Raw genomic sequence first — 19,022 nt, forward strand, 5'->3', positions numbered from 1 at the left:
AACTCCAGGCCCAAGTCCAGCCCACCCCAATTCCTCAGGACTCCACCCACTCCAGAGCTATTGGATTATCAGTCGATTACTCGCTTGCCATTGGCCGGGCAGTCTCAAGGCCCGCCCATTAGGGGAGGGGACAAACGGGTTTCTGTGCTTTACGGCCTCTTCGCGACGCTAGAACGGAAGCCTGCCCGTAGCTAGGCCTTTGCTTTCTTTTCCTCACTTCCTTCGCGTGGCTGCAATCGGGAAGGGCGGAGCTAGTTTGTTCCTTTTGGTCAGGTTTGTTTACAGCAGTTATTCCTCCCTTTTTCTTTATTTGCTACACCTTATCAGTTAACAAATCTTGTCAGTTCTACCTCCAAAACATACCTTGAATTTATTCATTTTTCTGTGTCTTCACTGCCAGGTTTAGCCCGTCACATCATCTTGTTCCCGAATTATTGTTATGACTTTTCTCCAGTTTTTACTTATTACTTAGCTTATTACAATTTCAAGTAATTTAGTTATTTTTATTTATTTATTTATTTATTTATTTATTTATTTATTTATTTATTTTTGGAGTAGTCTTGCTCTGTCGCCCAGGCTGGAGTGCAGTGGCACGATCTCAGCTCCCTGCATCCTCCCTCTCCCAGGCTCAAGCGATTCTCGTGCCTCAGCCTCCTGAGGAGCTGGGATTACAGGCAGGTACCATCACACCCGTCTAATTTTTGTATTTTCACTAGAGATGGGGTTTCCTCATGTTGCCTAGGCTGGTCTCAAACTCCTGACTGCCAGTGACCCGCCCACCTTGGCCTCCCGAAATGCTGGGATTACAGGCCTGAGCCACTGCTCCCGGCCTATTTTTAAACTATTAAAAATTTAAAACAAATGTTGCAAGAATAATATAATGAATGCGCATATACTCTTCACCTAGATTCACTTAGTGTTACTATTTTGCCAAGTTTATCTTTACCTATGTATTTACATATTATTTTGCAAAACCATTTGAAAACCAATCACACATCTCCCTAAATACTTAGGTATGTATCTACTAAGATCAAGGACTACCTCTTATGTAAGCACAGCCCGATTATGAAATTAAGGAAATTTAATCGTGATTCAATACTAGTATACAAATTCCATCTTTAAATTTTGTCAGTTATTCCAGTAATAACCGTTATATGTTTCATTTTATTTCCTAATGCAGGATCATCTAAATTCAACTATTACCATATAATATATATATATATATATATATATATATATATATATATATTTTTTTTTTTTTTTTTTTTTTTTTTTTTTGAGAGAGAGTGAGTGTCCCTCTGTTGCCCAGGCTAGAGTGCAGTGGGTCGATCTCAGCTTACTGCAACATCCACCTCCTGGTTCAATTGATTATTGTGGCTCAGCTTCCCAAGTAGCTGGGATTACAGGCATGCGCCAACACACCAGGCCAATTTTTGTATTTTTAGTAGAGACAGAGTTTCACCATGATGGCCAGCCTGATCTCAAACTCTGGCCTCAAGTGATCTGCCCTCCTCAGTCTCCCAAAATGCTGGGATTACAGGGGTGAGCCACCGTGCCCAGTCTAAAAATTTGTATTGAAGTACAATATACATAAGGAAAAATGTACATATCCCAAGTGTAAAGCTTGAATACTAACAAACCAAACATACTCATATAGTCAGCTCCCAGAAAATAAGCAGAACATTTCCTGCACCTTCAGAATCTCCCCTCATGCTGCCCTCTAGTAACTCTGCCCCCAACAATCACTATTCTGACTTCAAACAGTGCAGGTCAGTTTATACAATAGCTTTTTTATTATTTATTATTTATTTATTTATTTATTTTTTGAGACAGAGTCTCACTCTGTCGCCCAGGCCGGAGTGCAGTGGCACGATCTCGGCTCACTGCAAGCTCCACCTCCCGGGTTCAAGTGATTCTCCTGCCTCAGCCTGCCAAGTAGCTGGGACTACAGGCGCCCGCCACCACGCCCGGCTAATTTTTTGTATTTTTTAGTAGAGACGGGGTTTCACCGTGTTAGCCAGGATGGTCTTGATCTCCTGACCTCATGATCCACCCGCCTTGGCCTCTGAAAGTGCTAGGATTACAGGCGTGAGCCACCGCGCCCGGCTATGCGATAGCTTTTTAAGGAAGTTTCAGAAGAGCGGTATGTCCATTTTCAATTCATTTTCCACACAGCTGCCAGAATTAGTTTTCTAAAATAGAAATTCTATCATGTCACTTCCTTTTAAAAACTCATCAGTGTCTTCCAATTGTACTTAAAACTAAACACAAACTTCAACTTCCATAAAGTCATGATCAATATGGCCCTTCACTTGCTATTCCTTCTTTTTATTTTATTTTATTTTTTTTTTTTTGCGACAGAGTCTTGCTCTGTCACCCAGGCTGGAGTGCAGAGGTGCAATCTTAGATCACTGCAACCTCCGCCTCCCAGATTCAAGCGATTCTCTTGCCTCAGCCTCCCTAGTAGAGTAGCTGGGACTACAGGCACATGCCACCACACCCGGCTAATTTTTGTATTTTTAGTAAAGACAAGGTTTCACCATGTTGGCTAGGCTGGTCTCAAACTCCTGACCTCAAGTGATCCGCTCACCTCAGCCTCCAAAAGTGCTGGGATTACAGGGGTGAGCCACCTTGCCCAGCTATTCCATCTTTTTTGTGGGAGAAGAGGGGCAAGTTCTCGCTCTGTTGCCTAGGCTAGAATACAGTGGTGGAATCACACCTCAGCCTCCTGAGTAATTGAGACTACACACGCGCACCACCATGCCTGGCTAATTTCTGTATTTCTGTGTAGACTTTTGCCATGTTGCCCAGGCTGGTTTCAAACTCCTGAGCGCAAGGAATCTGCCGGCCTCGGCCTTCGAAAATGCTGGGATTACAGGCATCGGCCACTGCCTGGCCCTCATCATTTTTCTTGCTACTCCACCCCTGGTTCCCTGAGCTACAGCAACATCAGCTTTCTTTCAGTTCCTTCGTTGTATTAAGTTCTTTCCTAACTCCGGGACTTCACCCAAGCTGTTTGTTCCATTTGGAATTTTGCTTTCTTGGCTTTTTCTCCTTTTCATCTTTCACCTCTCAGCATAAATATCACCTCTGGACTCAAACCATCCTCCCACCCCAGCTTCCTGGCTAGCTGGGACCACAGGCGTGCACCACACACTCGACTAATTTTTTGTAGAGACAGGATTTCACCATGTTGCCCAGGCTGGTCTCAAATTCCTGGACTCAAGTGATCCTCCCACCTTGGCCTCCCGAAGTGCTAGGATTACAGGCTTGAGCCACTGTGCCCGGCCAAGGTCTTAACTAAAGTCCTAAAATATGTTCTCTAAACAAATATAGATATGTTTTCTTTCTTTTTTTTTTTTTTTTTTTGAGATGGAGTCTTTCTCTGTCACGCAGGCTGCAGTGCAGTGGCAAGATCTCAGCTTACTGCAACTTCCACCTCCCAAGTTTAAGTGATTCTCCTGCCTCAGCCTCTGGAGTAGCTGGGATGACAGCCACATACCACCACACCTGGCTAATTTTTGCATTTTTAGTAGAGTAGGCCACCATGTTGGCCAGACTGGTCTTGAACCCCTGTCCTCAAGTGATCTGCCCTCCTCTGCCTCCCAGAGTACTGGGATTACAGGCGTGAGCCACCACGCCCAGGCTGTTATGTTTTCTCTTTCTTTCTCCCTCCCTCCCTCCCACCCTCCTTCCTTTATTTTCTTTTTTCTTTTTTTTTTTTTTTTTTTTTTCTGAGACAGAGTGTTGCCCTGTCGCCCAGGCTGGAGTGCAGTGGCAAGATCTCAGCTTACTGCAACCTCTTCCACCTCCGGGGTTCAAGCAATTCTCATGCCTCAGCCTCCCGAGTAGCTGGGACTACAGGTGCACACCACCTCGCCTGGCTAATTTTTTGTATTTTAGTAGAGACAGGGTTTCACCATGTTCCCCAGGCTGGTCTTGGACTCCGAACTCAGGCAATCAGCCCACCTTAACCTCCCCAAGTGCTAGGATAACAGGCGTGACCGACCACGCCCGGCCTGGCCAATATGTTTTCTAAAACGTTTCTCTTATATCATCCATTTTCCTTTTAGTGCTTTTTACAATTTCTGGTTATCAATTGTCTCTCCTTTTGTTTTACTTTTATTTATAAATTTATTACTATTTTTTTAGAGACAGGATCTCACTGTCACCCAGGCTGCAGTGCAGTTGTAGCTCACTGCAGCTTGGGATACCTGGGCTCAAGTGATCCTCCCAAGTAGCTAGGACTACAGGTATATGCCACCATGCCCAGCTAATTTTTAAATATTTGGTAGTGGTCTTGACCTCAGAATCTCAAACAATCCTCCCTCATCAGCCTCCCAAAGCACTGGGATTATAAGCATGAGCCACTTGCCCAGCCCAGTTGTCTCTTTTTGCCCTTGACTGTGAATACGTGAAAATGAGGACCATGTGTACATGCCCAATACCTAGCACATTGTAGGTACTTAATAAATGTTTACTGAATGATTGTGACCATAGTCAATCCTTTCCGTCTTTCCTTTAACCATTGTCTCCCTCAAATTTTATGCCCCAGTTGCATTGAACTATTTGGGAGTTTTCTTACTCTAATTTGATTTATTTCCTGGGCCTTTGACCTTGCTGCTCTCTTTGCTCAGAATGTTTTGATTGATAAGATTTACTGGAGAAATGGAGCTTGTGCTAAGTGTTGAAGCATGGTTTGAATTTGAATTGACAGAGGGGAAGAAGCAGCATCATTGAAGTCTAAGAAAGACCAAAAAGCTGTGAAATGAATTGACTATTCATTCCATACTTAATGATCAAGCCCCGTGGTCAAGAATGGTCAAGAATTGACGCATTGTAATCTCAGAACTTTGGAAGGCCGAGGTGGGAGTCCAGGAGTTCAAAACCAGCCTGGACAACATAGTGAAACTCCATCTCTATAAAAAAATACAAAAATTAGGCCGGGTGTGGTGGCTCACGCCTGTAATCCCAGCACTTTGGAAGGCTGAGGCGGGTGGATCACCAGGTCAGGAGTTCAAGACCAGCCTGACGAAGATGGTGAAACCTATCTCTACTAAAAATACAAAAATTAGCCAGGCACAGTGGCAGGTGTAATCCCAGCTACTCAGGAGGCTGAGGCAAGACAATCGCTTGAACCCAGGCAGCAGAGGTTGCAGTGAGCTGAGATTGTGCCACTGCACTCTAGGCTGGGCAACAAAGTGAGACTGTCTCAAAAATTATATATATAAAAATTAAGGCCGGGCATGGTGGCTCACACCTGTAATCCCAGCACTTTGGGAGGCCAAGGCGGGTGGATCATCTGAGGTCATGGTTTTGAGACCAGCCTGGCCAACATGGCGAAACTCCGTCTCTACTAAAAAAAATACAAACATTAACCGGGCCTGGTGGCACGCGCCTGTAATCGCAGCTACTCGGGAGGCTGAGGCAGGAGACTTGCTTGAACTTGGGAGGCGGAGGTTGCAGTGAGCTGAGATTGTGCCACTGCACTTCAGCCTCAGCAACAGAGTGAGACTCTGTCTCAAAAAAACAAAAACCAAAAACCAAAAATTAGCTGGGTGTGGGCCAGGCATGGTGGCTCACGCCTGTAATCCCAGCACTTTGGGAGGCCGAGGTGGGTGGATCACGAGGTCAGGAGTTCAAGACCAGCCTGGCCAAGATGGTGAAACCCCATCTCTATTAAAAATACAAAAAATTAGCCGGCGCGGTGGCAGGCACCTGTAGTCCCAGCTACTCAGGACGCTGAGGAAAGAATCATTTGAAACCGGAGGGTGGAGTTTGCAGTGAGCCGAGATCGTGCCACTGCACTCCAGCCTGGGTGACAGAGTGAAACTCCGTCTCAAAAAAAAAAAAAAATTAGCTGGGTGTGGTGGCACATACCTGTAGTCCCAGCTACTCGGGAGGCTGAGGTGGGAGGTGGGATTGCTTGAGCCCGGGAGGTTGAGGCTGCATTGAGCCATGACTGCACCACTGTACTCTAGCCTGGGTGACAGAGCAGACCTGCCTCAAAAATAAATAAATATATAATTAAAATAAAATTGTATCCTGCCCTAACATTTTCAGTATTAGGCACCTTTTTAGTCACTTTCACTGGTACTCACCAAAACTTGTAACAATATTATCTACTAACTACTTGTTTTTATCTGTTTCTGTCTCAGAGACAGAAGGTAAGCTCCACAAGGGCAAGGACCACTTATTTCTGTCTCATTTACTACTGTATCCCTGATATTAGCACAGGGCCTGTCACATAGGAGGCACTCAATAAATTTTTTGAATGAATGAATGAATGAATGAATGGCTCATTCTCAACGGCACTTCACAGGCTGAGAGGAAATAGACACATAAATGCAGTGCAGCATGGGTGGTGCTATGATATGCACAGATTGCCGTGGGCACATTAGAAAGATTACTGTGAGAAAAGGAAAACAGTTCAGAGCAGTCTGAGCTATGTGAGGTATGCAACATTCATCAGGCCCAAGGAGGTGAGGACAGGACTTCAGTTATGCACCCCTCACACACATGTCCAAAGTCATTTTATGTATTTTTGTTTTGTGCTATTTTGTTTATTTGATACAGGGTCTCCCTCTATAGCCCAGGCTGGAATGCACTGGTGCAAACACAGTTACCTGCAAGCCTTGACTTCCTAGGCTCAAGCAATCCTTCTGCCTCAGCCTCCCGAGTAGCTGGGACCACAGGTACATGCCACCACACCCAGCTAATTAAAAAAATAATTTTTTTTGGCCGGGTGCAGTGGCCAAAGTGCAGTCCCAGCACTTTGAGAGGCCAAGGTGGGTGGATCACCTGAGGTCAGGAGTTTGAGACCAGCCTGGCCAACATGGTGAAACCCCATCTCTACTAAAAATACAAAAATTAACTGGTCGTGGTGGCAGGCGCCTGTAATCCCAGCTACTTGGGAGGCTGAGGCAGGAGAAATCGCTTGAACCTGTGAACTGCCAAGAGACGGAGGCTGCAGTGAGCTGAAACCGCGCCACTGCACTCCAGCCAGGGGGACAAGAGCGAGACTCCGTCTCAAAAAAAAAAAAAAAAATTTTTTTTTTAAAAGATGGGGTCTTGCCATCTTGCCCAGGCTGGTCTCAAACTCCTGTGCTCAAATCATCATCCTGCCTCCACCTCCCAAAGTGCGGGGACTTCAGGCATGAGCCACCTCACCTGGCCCAAAGGCTATTGTTAAAGCAGGGGTCTCCATCCCCTGGGCCACAGACCGGTATGGTCGTGGTACAGTCCATGACCTGTTAGGAACCAGCCACACAGTGGGAGGTGAGCGGCAGGGGCATATTACTGCCTGAGCTCTGCCTCCTGTGAGATCAGCAGGGCATTAGATTCTCATAGGAGCACAAATCCTATTGTGAACTGCGCACGTAAAGGATCTATGTTGCACACTCCTTATGAGAATCTAACTAATACCTGATGATCTGAAGTGAAACAGTTTCATCCTATTCCCCCCAACCCTGTAAAAAAATTGTCTTCCACGAAACCTGGTGCCAAAAAGGTTGGGGACCGCTGACTTTTTTTTTTTTTTTTTGAGACAGTCTTGCTCTGTCACCCAGGCTGGAGTGCAGTGGCGGGATCTCTGCTCACTGCAAGCTCCACCTCCTGGGTTCACGCCATTCTTTCCTGCCTCAGCCTCCTGAGTAGATGGGACTACAGGCACCCGCCACCACGCCCAGCTAATTTTTTGTATTTTTAGTAGAGATGGGGTTTCACCGTGTTAGCCAGGATGGTCTCGATCTCCTGACCTCGTGATCCACCCACCTCGGCCTCCCAAAGTGCTGGGATTACAGCGTGAGCCACCGCGCCCAGCGGGGACCGCTGATTTAAAGGCATTTGGCCAGGTATAGTGGTTCATGTCTGTAATCTCCCCACTTTGGGAGGCTAAGGCAGGAGGATGGCTTGAGGTCAGGAGTTAAAGACCAGCCTGGGTAACATAGTGAGACCTTGTCTCTACAAAAAAATAAATAGGCCGGGCACGGTGGCTCATGCCTGTAATCCCAGCACTTTGGGAGGCCAAGGCAGGTGGATCACCTGAGGTCGGGAGTTCAAGACCAGCCTGACCAACATGGAGAAACCCCATCTCTTCTAAAAATTCAAAATTAGCTGGGCGTGGTGGTGCATGCCTGTAATCCCAGCTACTCGGGAGGCTGAGGCAGGAGAATCACTTAAACCCAGGAGGTGGAGGTTGCTCCAGCCTGGGCAAGAAGAGCAAAACTCTGACACACACAAAAAAATAAAATAAAAAATAAAAAATAAATAAATAATTAGCTGGGCTTGGTGTTGCACAAGCCCAGCTAATTATTGGTCCTAGCTACTAGGGGTGCTGAGGTGGGAGGATTGCGAAAGCCCAGGAGGTTGAGGCTTCAGTGAGCCAAGATCGCACCACTACACTTAAGGGAAACAGTGAGACCCTGTCTCAGAAATAAATGAATAAATAAATACAAATAAAAGCATTTTGATCCTGACTAGCTGCCTCACCCATTATCTTCATGTTCCTGGAACTTGTGATACAAAACACAAGGGTATAGGCCAGGCTCAATGGCTCACGCCTGTAATCCTAGCACTTTGGGAGGCCAAGGTGGGTGGATCACTTGAGCTGTGGAGTTCAAGACCACCCTGGCCAACATGGTAAAACCCCATCTCTACTAAAAATACAAAAAAAAAAAAAAAATTAGCTGGGGCTGGGCGTGGTGGCTCACACCTGTAATCCCAGCAATTTGGGAGGCCGAGGCAGGCAGATCACGAGGTCAGGAGATCGAGACCATCCTGGCTAACACGGTGAAACCCTGTCTCTACTAAAAATACAAAAAATTAGCCAGGCGTGGTGGTGGATGCCTGTGGTCCCAGCTACTCGGGAGGCTGAGACAGGAGAATGGCGTGAACCTGGGAGGTGGAGCTTGCAGTGAGCCAAGATCATGCCACTGCACTCCAGCCTGGGCAACAGCGAGACTCTGTCTCAAAAATAAATAAATAAATAAATAAATAAAAATAAAAAAATTAGGCAGGCATGGTGGCATGTGCCTGTAATCCCAGCTACTCGGGAGACTGAGGCAGGAGAATCGCTTGAACCCGGGAGGTGGAGGTTGCAGTGAGCCAAGATTGCACCACTGTACTCTAGCCTGGGCAAGAGAACAAGACTCCCATCTCAAAAAAAAAAAAAAAAAAAAAAGGTAGGTATAGCCAATCTATAGTTTGTTATTTTAATGTAAACTTTTGGTAAACAACTTGGAAACTGCATCTTCTTTTTTACTTTAAATACTCACTTGTTGGCTGGACATGGTGGCTCACACCTGTAATTCCAGCTGTTTGGGAGGTGGAAGCAGGAGCTCAAAGAGTTCAAGACTAGCCTGGGCAACACAGCAAGACCAAATAAATAAATAAAAAGTTCAAAAAAACCCTCAAAACATTTGTCATGTTGGGGGCAGTAGTGTGCGCCTGTAATCCCAGATACTCAGGAGGCTGAGGCGGGAAGAATTTTTTTTTTTTAGAGTCTCACTATGTTGCTCAGACTCAGACTGTTTTTTTGTTTTGTTTTGTTTTGTTTTGTTTTGTTTTTTTGAGACAGAGTCTCACTCTGTCACCCAGGCTGGAGTGCAGTGGCACGACCTTGGCTCACTGCAAACTCCGACTCCCGGGTTCAAGCGATTCTTCTGCCTCAGCCTCCCAAGTAGCTGGGACTACAGGCATGAGCCACCACGCTGGGCTAATTTTTGTATTTTTTTTTTAGTAGAGACAGGGTTTCACCATGTTAGCCAGGCTGGTCTCGAACTTCCGCCCTCAGGTGATCTGCCCACCTCAGCCTCCCAAAGTGCTGAGATTACAGGCGTGAGCCACCGCACCTGGTTGCACTTTTTTTTTTTTTTGAGACGGAGTCTCACTCTGTTGCCAGGCTGGAGTTCAGTGGCGTGATCTTGGCTTATTGCAACCTGTAACTCCACCTCTGACTCTGATTCAAGTGATTCTCCTGCCTCAGCCTCCCGAGTAGCTGGGACTGCAGGCACGCACCACTATGCCCAGATAATTTTTGTATTTTTGGTAGAGACGGGGTTTCATCATGTTGGTCAGGTTGCTCTCGATCTCCTGACTTTGTGATCCTCCTGCCTCAGCTTCCCAAAGTGCTGGGATTACAGGTGTGAGCCACGGCGCCCAGCCTGTGGCACTTCTTAAACTGGTTATCTTTCTTTCAAAAAGAAAAGATATGGAAATCTTGGCAAGATAAACAGGAGGGAACAATATTTGCTTTAGGAAGGTTAATTCTGACCTTATAAACAATGACTTTTACGGGGATCAAACTTTTTTTTTTTTTTTTGAGACAGTCTCATTCTGTTGCCCAGGCTGGAGTGCAGTGTTATGATCTCAGTGCAATGCGACCTCCACCTCCCGAGTTCAAGCCATTCTCCTGCCTCAGTCTCCTGAGTAGCTGGACTACAGGTGCCCGCCATGACGCCCAGCTAATTTTTGTATTTTTGTATTTTTTTTTTTTTTTTTTTGAGACGGAGTCTCGCTCTGTTGCCCAGGCTGGAGTGCAGTGGTACGATCTTGGCTCACCGCAAGCTCCGCCTCCCGGGTTCATGCCATTCTCCTGCCTCAGCCTCCGGAGTAGCTGGGACCACAGGCGCCCACCACCACGCCCAGCTAATTTTTTGTATTTTTTTAGTGGAGACAGGGTTTCACTGTGTTAGCCAGGATGATCTCGATCTCCTGACCTCGTGATCTGCCCGCCTCAGCCTCCCAAAGTGCTGGGATTATAGGCGTGAGCCACCGTGCCCGGCTAATTTTTGTATTTTTAATAGAGACGGGGTTTCAAGTAGGTGAAAAACCTCTACAAGGAAAACTACAAAACGCTGATGAAAGAAGTTGAAGAGGACATAAAGAAATGGAAATCAAATCCATGCTCATGGATCAGAAAATATTAATACTGTTAAAATGACCATACAACCCAAAGCAATCTACAGATTTAATAAAATCTCTATCAAAATACCAATGTCATTTTTCACAGAAGTAGAAAAAATAATCCTAAAATTCATATGGAACAAAAAAAGAGTTCAAATAGCCAAAGCAATCCTAAGCAGAAAGAAAGCTGGAGACATTATACTATCTGACTCCAACATATATTACAAGGCTCTAGTGACCAAAACATCATGGTATTGGTATAAAAACAGGTATAAAATGAAACAGAATAGAAAACTCAGAAATAGATCCATACATTTGCAGCCAATTGATTTTCAACAAAGGTGTCAAGGACATTCACTGGGGAAAGGACATTCTCTTCAATAAATAGTGCTGGGAAAAGTGGATATCCATATGCAAAAGAACGCAACTAACCTCCTACCTTTCACTATATGCAAAAATCAACTCGAGATGGATTAAAGACTTAACCATAAGGCCTGAAACCATAAAACTACTAGAAGAAAACATAGGGGGAAGCACTTCAGGACACTGGTCTAGGAAAAGATTTTATGGCTAAGACTTCAAAACCACAGGCAACAAAAACAAAAGTAGACAAATTGGATTATATTAAACTACAAAGCTTCTGCACAGCAGAGGAAACAACACAGTGAAGAGACAACCTGTTGAATGGGAGAAAATATCTGCAAACTGTTCATCCAACAAGGAATTAACATCCAGAATACACAAGGAACTCAAATACCTCAACAGTAAAACATGATAATAATTCCATTTAAAAGTGGGCAAAGGGTCAGGCATTATGGCTCATGCCTGTAATCCTAGCACTTTGGGAGGCTGATGCAGATGGACTGCTTGAGCCCAGGAGTTTGAGACCAGCCTGGGCAACATAGAAAAACCCCATCTCTACAAAAAAATACAAAAATTAGACTGAGTCTGGTGATTCATGCCTGTAATCCCAGCACTTGGGGAGGCCAAGGCAGTAGGATCGCTTGAGCCCAAGAGTTCAAGACCAGCCTGGGAACATAGTCACTAGTTACAGAGAACAGGAATCTATAAACTCATACCTTATTGTGTGTGTGTATATATATATATATATACATACAGAGTATACACAGGCTCATGCCTGTAATCCCAGCACTTTGGTAGACTGAGGCAGGTACATCACTTGAGTTCAGGAGTTCCAGAACAGCAACATGATGAAACCTGTCTCTACAAAAAAAATTAGGCAGCTGTGGTGGTGGCCGCCTGTGGTCCCAGCTACTGGCTACTCATGAGGCTGATACAGGAGGATCACTTGGGCCTTTCCTGCTTGCTTCACTGAAGGCATCAGGCTGTTTCATGGCTGGGATCAACTCTTCTCAAAGCAGGTCCTAGCAGGACTGGGTGTCCACACCCAGGATATGGGTCCTGCAGAGAGTTTGTAATACCCCGCGATCTTGGGGGAGGAGCAGGGGCTGGTGCCTTGAGGACTTACTGTCCTTCTGACCAGTCCTGATGTTTCCAAGGCACTGGGGTTTTCAGGACTGGATAAGACTGTTCTAAGGCCACAGTGTGGCAACTGCAGCGAGTCACAGGCCAAATCCTCAACTCGGGCACTGTCTAAAGTGCCTTTCTTGACCAGGTGCAGTAGCTCATGCCTGTAATCCCAGCACTTTGGGAGGCTGAGGCGGGTGGATTACTGGAGGTCAGGAGTTCAAGACCAGCCTGGCCAACATAGTAAAATCCTGTCTCTATTAAAAATACAAAAATTAGCCGGGTGTGGTGGCACACGTTTGTAATCCCAGTTACTCGGGAGGTTGATACAGAAGAATCACTTGAACCCGGGAGGCAGAGGTTGCACTGAGCCGAGATCGCACCACTGCCCTCCAGCCTGGGTGACTATATATATGTGTGTGTGTGTGTGTGTGTATATATACACACACACACACACACACACATATACACTCACACAACCAAGTACTATTCAGCCAGGCTGGTCTTGAACTCCTGACCTCAAGTGATTGGCCCACGTTGGCCTCCCAAACTGCTGGGATTACAGGAGTGAGCCACCACACCCGGCCCTCTTTTCTTTATGAATTACCTAGTGTCAGGTATTCCTTTATAGCAAGGCAAGAACTAACACAATCCCGTAGGACAAAATAAATATCCATAAATCCATATGGACATACATAAATAATTCAGTAAATAAGTGTATGAGAAAAGACACTTCTTCCTTACAAAATTCCAATTAATGTAGAAGGAATGAGTAAAATACAAAATCCCCACTTGAACACCACATTAGTAACCGTTGACAAGATCCACCAAGGAATGCGAAAATCAGCAGCCAAAAGTTTGAGAAGAAACAGGATGCTATCATAGTCTCAAAGCATCTCTAAGATGTTTATCATTTGCAAAGGGAGAAAAGAAACTTTACAATAAAGAAACCGGGGAGATGCCACCTTAACCAAATGATCGCAGTAAGTATCACTAATAAGCCACATTGGCATCCTGTACCCGATAGGAAATAACAAGAGCATTTCACCTTGTGTTCTTCTTCCCTCCAACCCATCACCTCAGTCTAATCATGAGGAAAACATGGACAAACCCAAACTGAGGATCATTTTACAAAACAGCTGACCAGTACTCATCAAGAGTCCATGAAAGACTAGGAAATACGGAGCAATTGTCACAGACTGGAGGAAACTGAGGGGACATAGAAACGAATGCAATGTGGGATCTTAGATTATATCCTAGAACATTAAAAAGGCATGGTAGGGGGTGGGGGAGGAGACGGTGAAAATCAAAGGGCTGTAGTTTAATTCATAGTATTGTATCAAAGTTAATTTCCTCATTTTGATTATTGAACTGTAGTTATATAAGTTTTTAACATCGGGGAAGCAAAGTGGTAGATATATGTGAACTCTGTACTATTTCTGCAACTTTTCTGTCAGTCTAAAATTATTTCAGAAATAAAATAAATACGCATGCATGCACAAAATAGTAACTGTGAAGAGGTGATAATAGGTTAATTAGCTTGATTGTGATGATCATTTCACAATGCATGTGTGTATCAACCATCAAATTGTACACCATATATAATTTTATGTCACTAAATCTGTTAAAATATATAAAAATAAATGAATTAATCAAATAAAAAATAAAATAACTTAAAAATAAGAATAAGCTCCATCTGAAGCACTACTTGCATAGTGCACATGAAAAACCACATTCTGCTGCTGCTGGCTGGAGGACTTGAACACCATTCAGAATTTCCCCTAACACTGTGCAGCTCTTATCTAAAACCATAACTACAAAATTGCTGGCAAGGTACTCTCCCTGGTCCTCAATTTTCCACACCTATAAAATGAAAGCATTAGGAAAACAGATATTTTTCTTTCTAGTTTTGATATTCTATGCTTTGTGCTTCATAATTCCTTACTCTTCTTAGCTTGGCCTTCATTGCCAAGTTAGGCTAACAGCTTTGGTGCAGAAGTGATCAGAGATTACAGATGCCAGTTTGGGGCTCAGTATGTCACCACATTAACCAAAGTCAGGCAATGTATGCGGCAGAGGTCACTGGGTTCTTAGTTTTCTTTTCTTTCTTTTTTTTTCTTTTTTTCTTTTTGAGACACAGTCTCACTCTATCACCCAGGCTGGAGTGCAGTGGCACAATCTTGGCTCACTGCAACCTCCGACTCCAGGGTTCAAGCGATTCTCCTGCCTCAGCCTTCCGAGTAGCTAGGATTACAGGCATGCGCCACCACGCCTGGCTAATTTTTGTATTTTTGGTAGAGACACAGTTTCACCATGTTAGCCAGGCTGGTCTTGAACTCCTGACCTCAGGTGACCCGCCTGCCTCAGCCTCCCAAAGTGCTGAGATTACAGGCGTGAGCCACTGTGCCTGGCCAGGTTCTTAAATTTCAATATCTCAGAAAGCTAATTAAAGATCTTAATCTCATTTAAATCTCTTCATTTTACACAATAATAACAGTGAACACATGGTGAAATCTGGCCCATTTAACTCAGAAACTTCATTTTAGGACAATATTTCAAACTCCTTTCCCATCTAGGCATTTTTCAGTGGCCAGACATGTGGCACACCTGACTCCCTTCACCTCCCTCTTAGTGAAGGTTTAAGGATTAGAGATGTACTCAAAGCCAGAACTCAGTGGCCTACATCACCAATGCTTGGATTACTATGAGCTCACCCAGAGTCTAAAAGAACGATTCTCCTTATGCCCATTGTGACCCTGGAGAAATTACTTCTCTCCTCAGTTGTTGTTTCTCACTTAGCATCTCATTTTGAAAATCTTTGTTTCGCTGTGGCCACTATGACATCTGCTCCACTGAGCTTTCTGGCTTTAATTTTTTCCCCTTCAATCAGTTCCAGATAGCCCTACTGAAGTAGTGCCAGAAACTTGCATTGCTATTCCACTCTTTAAACTCTAAGGATTTCTCATCTAAATATTAACCACTACTCCAACATTCCTGCATTTGTGGTCATCTTGTCAGCACATCTCGCTGACCTAAATGAAGAAATTCCTGTTCCTTTTACTCCAGATTATCCATATAATTCTTCCTAAAGCTATTCTTGGGATATACTGAGGAAAGTACTTCAATTTTGGAGTCTGCTGATCTAGGGTTTAAGTGTTGGCTGCACCACTTACTTAGCAAATTTCAGAAAGGTATTAAATTCCTATAAATGAGAATGTCTACTTTATAAGGTGTTTCAAAAATTCAATGATAATGTATGTGATATTCACACCACAGGGTCAGTCTGTCAAGCAGTACCCTGTCACTGGTGGCTAAGAAGATGAAGATAACTACCCATGGGATTCCATGAACAGAGCAGTCATCTCTACTGACCTCAGCCACAAAACACCAGCCTTTCTAGCTTCCCTGGATCCTTTGCTAACTGTGTTTTTTTCTGGGATAGTATGTGGTTCTCTATTTGGCTTGAGAACAGAACACTCCTTCAAATGGTTGAAGTATCTTCATTATATACATGGTCTGCGCTTTATCATACTAATTTTTTTTTCGAGGCAAGTTCTCACTCTGTCGTCCAGGCTGGAGTGCAGTGGCATGATCACAGATCACTGCAGCCTTGAACTCATGGGCTCAAGTGATCCTCCTGCCTCAGCCTCCTGAGTAGCTGGGACTATAGGCGCACACCACCAGGTCTGGCTAATTTATTATTATTATTATTTTTTGTTAGAGATGGGGTCTCACTATGTTGCCCAGGCTGGTCTCAAACTCCTGGGCTCAAGTGATCCTCCCGCCTTGGCCTCTCAATGTGTTGGGATTACAGATGTAAGCCACCTTGCCCAGCCCTAAATTTTTTTTCTTATGCTAAAATACACAAAAATGTACCATCTTAACCATGTTTAATTGTGCAACTCCGTAGTGTGAAGTACATTCACATTGTTATGTAGCCATCGCTACTATCAATCCCCTGAACTTTTAAAAGAATCATCCCAAACAGAAAGTCTATACTAATTAAACACTAACTATTCTTCCCTACCCCCAGCCCCTGGAAACTACTGTCTGTCTGTATGAATTTGCCTATTCTAGGTACCTCACATGAGTGGAATCATATATTTGTCCTTCCGTGACCTGCTTATTTCACTTAGTATAATGTCCTCAAGGTTCATCTATGTTGTAGCATATGTAAGAATTGTACTTCTTTTTAAGGCTGAATCATATTCCATTGTACATATATACCTCATGTTGTTTATCCATTCATCCACAGATGAACATTTGGGTTGCTTCCACATTTTGGCTATTGTGACTTTATCCTGTTTTATATTCTGCAGCAATTTACATCTTTATTTTCAGAACTATTAAGTTTCTTCATATTAACAGTCATAGGAAGAGAGTCGTGAAAGACTTTTATTTGATTTCATCTTTTGGCCATTCTTTTTTTTTTTTTTTTTTTTGGCAGCCACAAAGACTGGGATTTCTAATTCTATGTTATGATAAGTAGACAATTTAAGCCATCTATCTTTTTTTTCTGTTTCCTTTTCAAAAAAAAGAAAATAGTATTTTTCTAAAATATGATCATGTCAATTTGGTCTATTTTTATACGTGTTAAAGAGAGCACTAACAGACAAAAGAATAACAATATAGCAATTAGGTATTTAGTTTTTTTAAAAAAGAAAAAAAGGTAGAGGATGGGGCAATAGATAGCCTGCCTCTTCTCTAACCAAGTTGTGAACTATTTAAGAAATTGACAATAAAGAGTATGGCATATGGAGGCCAGAACATTCCTTTTATTATGAACAAAGTTGATTTGGGAGAATGCAGCTTATCTCTACTTGCAGGCAGGTGGCCATCTTAATTCTATACCCCAGAATTAAACAGGTCTCTCAGCCACTCATAGACATGTCTCCTGGAGGGAAAGAAAAATTATCAACTGACAAACAGTCTGATTAAATGCTTGTCTTTTATACCTGCTATGGTTTCAATGTGCCTCATCTAAAACTAAGTGTTGCTAATGTGATACTATTAAGAGGTGGGGCCTTTAAAAGGTGATTAGGCCACGAGGGCTCCTATCTTGTGAATGGGATTAGGTGCCCTTATAAAAGGGCTTGAAAGAGGGAGTTCATCCCTTTTTGTTCTTCTGCCTTCTGTTATATGAGGACACAGCATTCTTCCCCCACTCCTCAAGGATGCAACAATCAAGGCGCCATCTTGGAAGCAGAGAGACTAGACACTCACCAGATAAATGAACCTGCCAGTGCCTTCATCTTGGACTTCCTAACTTCCAGGACTGTGAGGAAACAAATTCCTGTTCTTTATAAATTACCCAGTCTGTGGTATCCTGTTATAGCAGCTCAAAACAGACTAACGCAATGCCCGCAACCCACTTCTCTGCCTTGGTACCCATCATATTGTGTAGCAATGAATCTTGGCTTGTCTCTTTCCAATAAGCATGTTGCTTTCATCCATTCTTCCACTGACTCAACTGGTTTCATTGAGTGCCTGTTTTGGGCCTAGCAGTACACTAGGTCTTGCATTCAAGACCTCACAGAGGTGGCAGAAACTGACACGACACCTACCCTTAAGGAGAGAAGAATAGAAAATATTGCAAAGGAGACAGAGTGCGGCATTAGACAATAAGAAGGGCAGAGTGACTTAACAAAGTGGGAGAAGGCTTTTCATGGGAAGTCACATTTTTGATGATGCCTCAAGTTCAAGGAGTACTTCACCAGTATATTATACTCTGGTGTCCAGTAGAGGCGTATAGCACGTAGCAGAGCTCAATAAATGCTTAACAAATGAATGAATGAGTGATATATGTGAAAGCACTTTATACGCAAAGTACCACACAGATGTTAACCATTATCCTTTAGTTAATATGGAGAGATCTACTTTTATTCAGCTTCTCTGAAACACCAAAAATATATATGGCAGTGTCTGGAGACATTGTGAGTTGTCACAACTGGAGTTGAGGGGAGATGTGGTAATGAAATCTAGTGAGTAGAGACCACAGTTGCTACGAAACATCCTATAGTATACAGGGCAATCCCCCAAAATGTCAATAATGCCACTATTAAGAAATCTGATTCTAAAATAATTACTGTGTTTACATGTGCATTCACCTGTTTTACAGTGGAGAAACATTTCATTGTGTAAACATAATACAACTAATACTAACATTTTTGCATTCATTCATTCAACAAAGAATTACTAAACACCCAGTATAAGATGGTATAGTCCTCAAGATGGTGGGGATTTTTATTTTATTTGTAGAGAAAGGGGCTTGCTCTGTCTCCCAGGCTGGATTGCAGTGGAAGGATCACAGCTCTCTGCAGTGTTGAACTGGGCTCAAGTGATTCTCCAGTCTCAGCTTCCTGAGTAGCTGGGACTATAGACATGTGCCACCACTCCCAGCTATTTTTTTATTTTTTGTAGAGACGTGGTCTCACTATGTTGCCCATACTGGTCTGAAACTCCTGGCCTCAAACCATTCTCCCACCTCGGCCTCCCAAAGTGCTAGGATTACAGGCATGAGCCACCACACCTGGCTGGATTTTTAAAATATTAAAGACACATCTTCGACCATTTGGAAGTACGTGAGATACTTTAAGAAAGTTACTGAAGTTCTAAATAAATAAATGTGC

The 19,022-nt window shown here is 43.6% G+C and overlaps 1 long non-coding RNA gene across 1 annotated transcript; it reads left to right on the forward strand.

Moving 5' to 3' along the window:
- On the forward strand, positions 216-15,984 carry LOC107987061 (uncharacterized). The gene is made up of 3 exons (XR_001746648.3): positions 216-273; positions 13,316-13,376; positions 15,670-15,984. It is a non-coding gene; the product is annotated as an uncharacterized LOC107987061 (long non-coding RNA).
- The last annotated feature ends 3,038 nt before the right edge of the window (positions 15,985-19,022 follow it).

This window comes from Homo sapiens, chromosome 9 (genome assembly GCF_000001405.40).
Source record: "Homo sapiens chromosome 9, GRCh38.p14 Primary Assembly".
NCBI classification, from domain to species: Eukaryota; Metazoa; Chordata; class Mammalia; order Primates; family Hominidae; genus Homo; species Homo sapiens.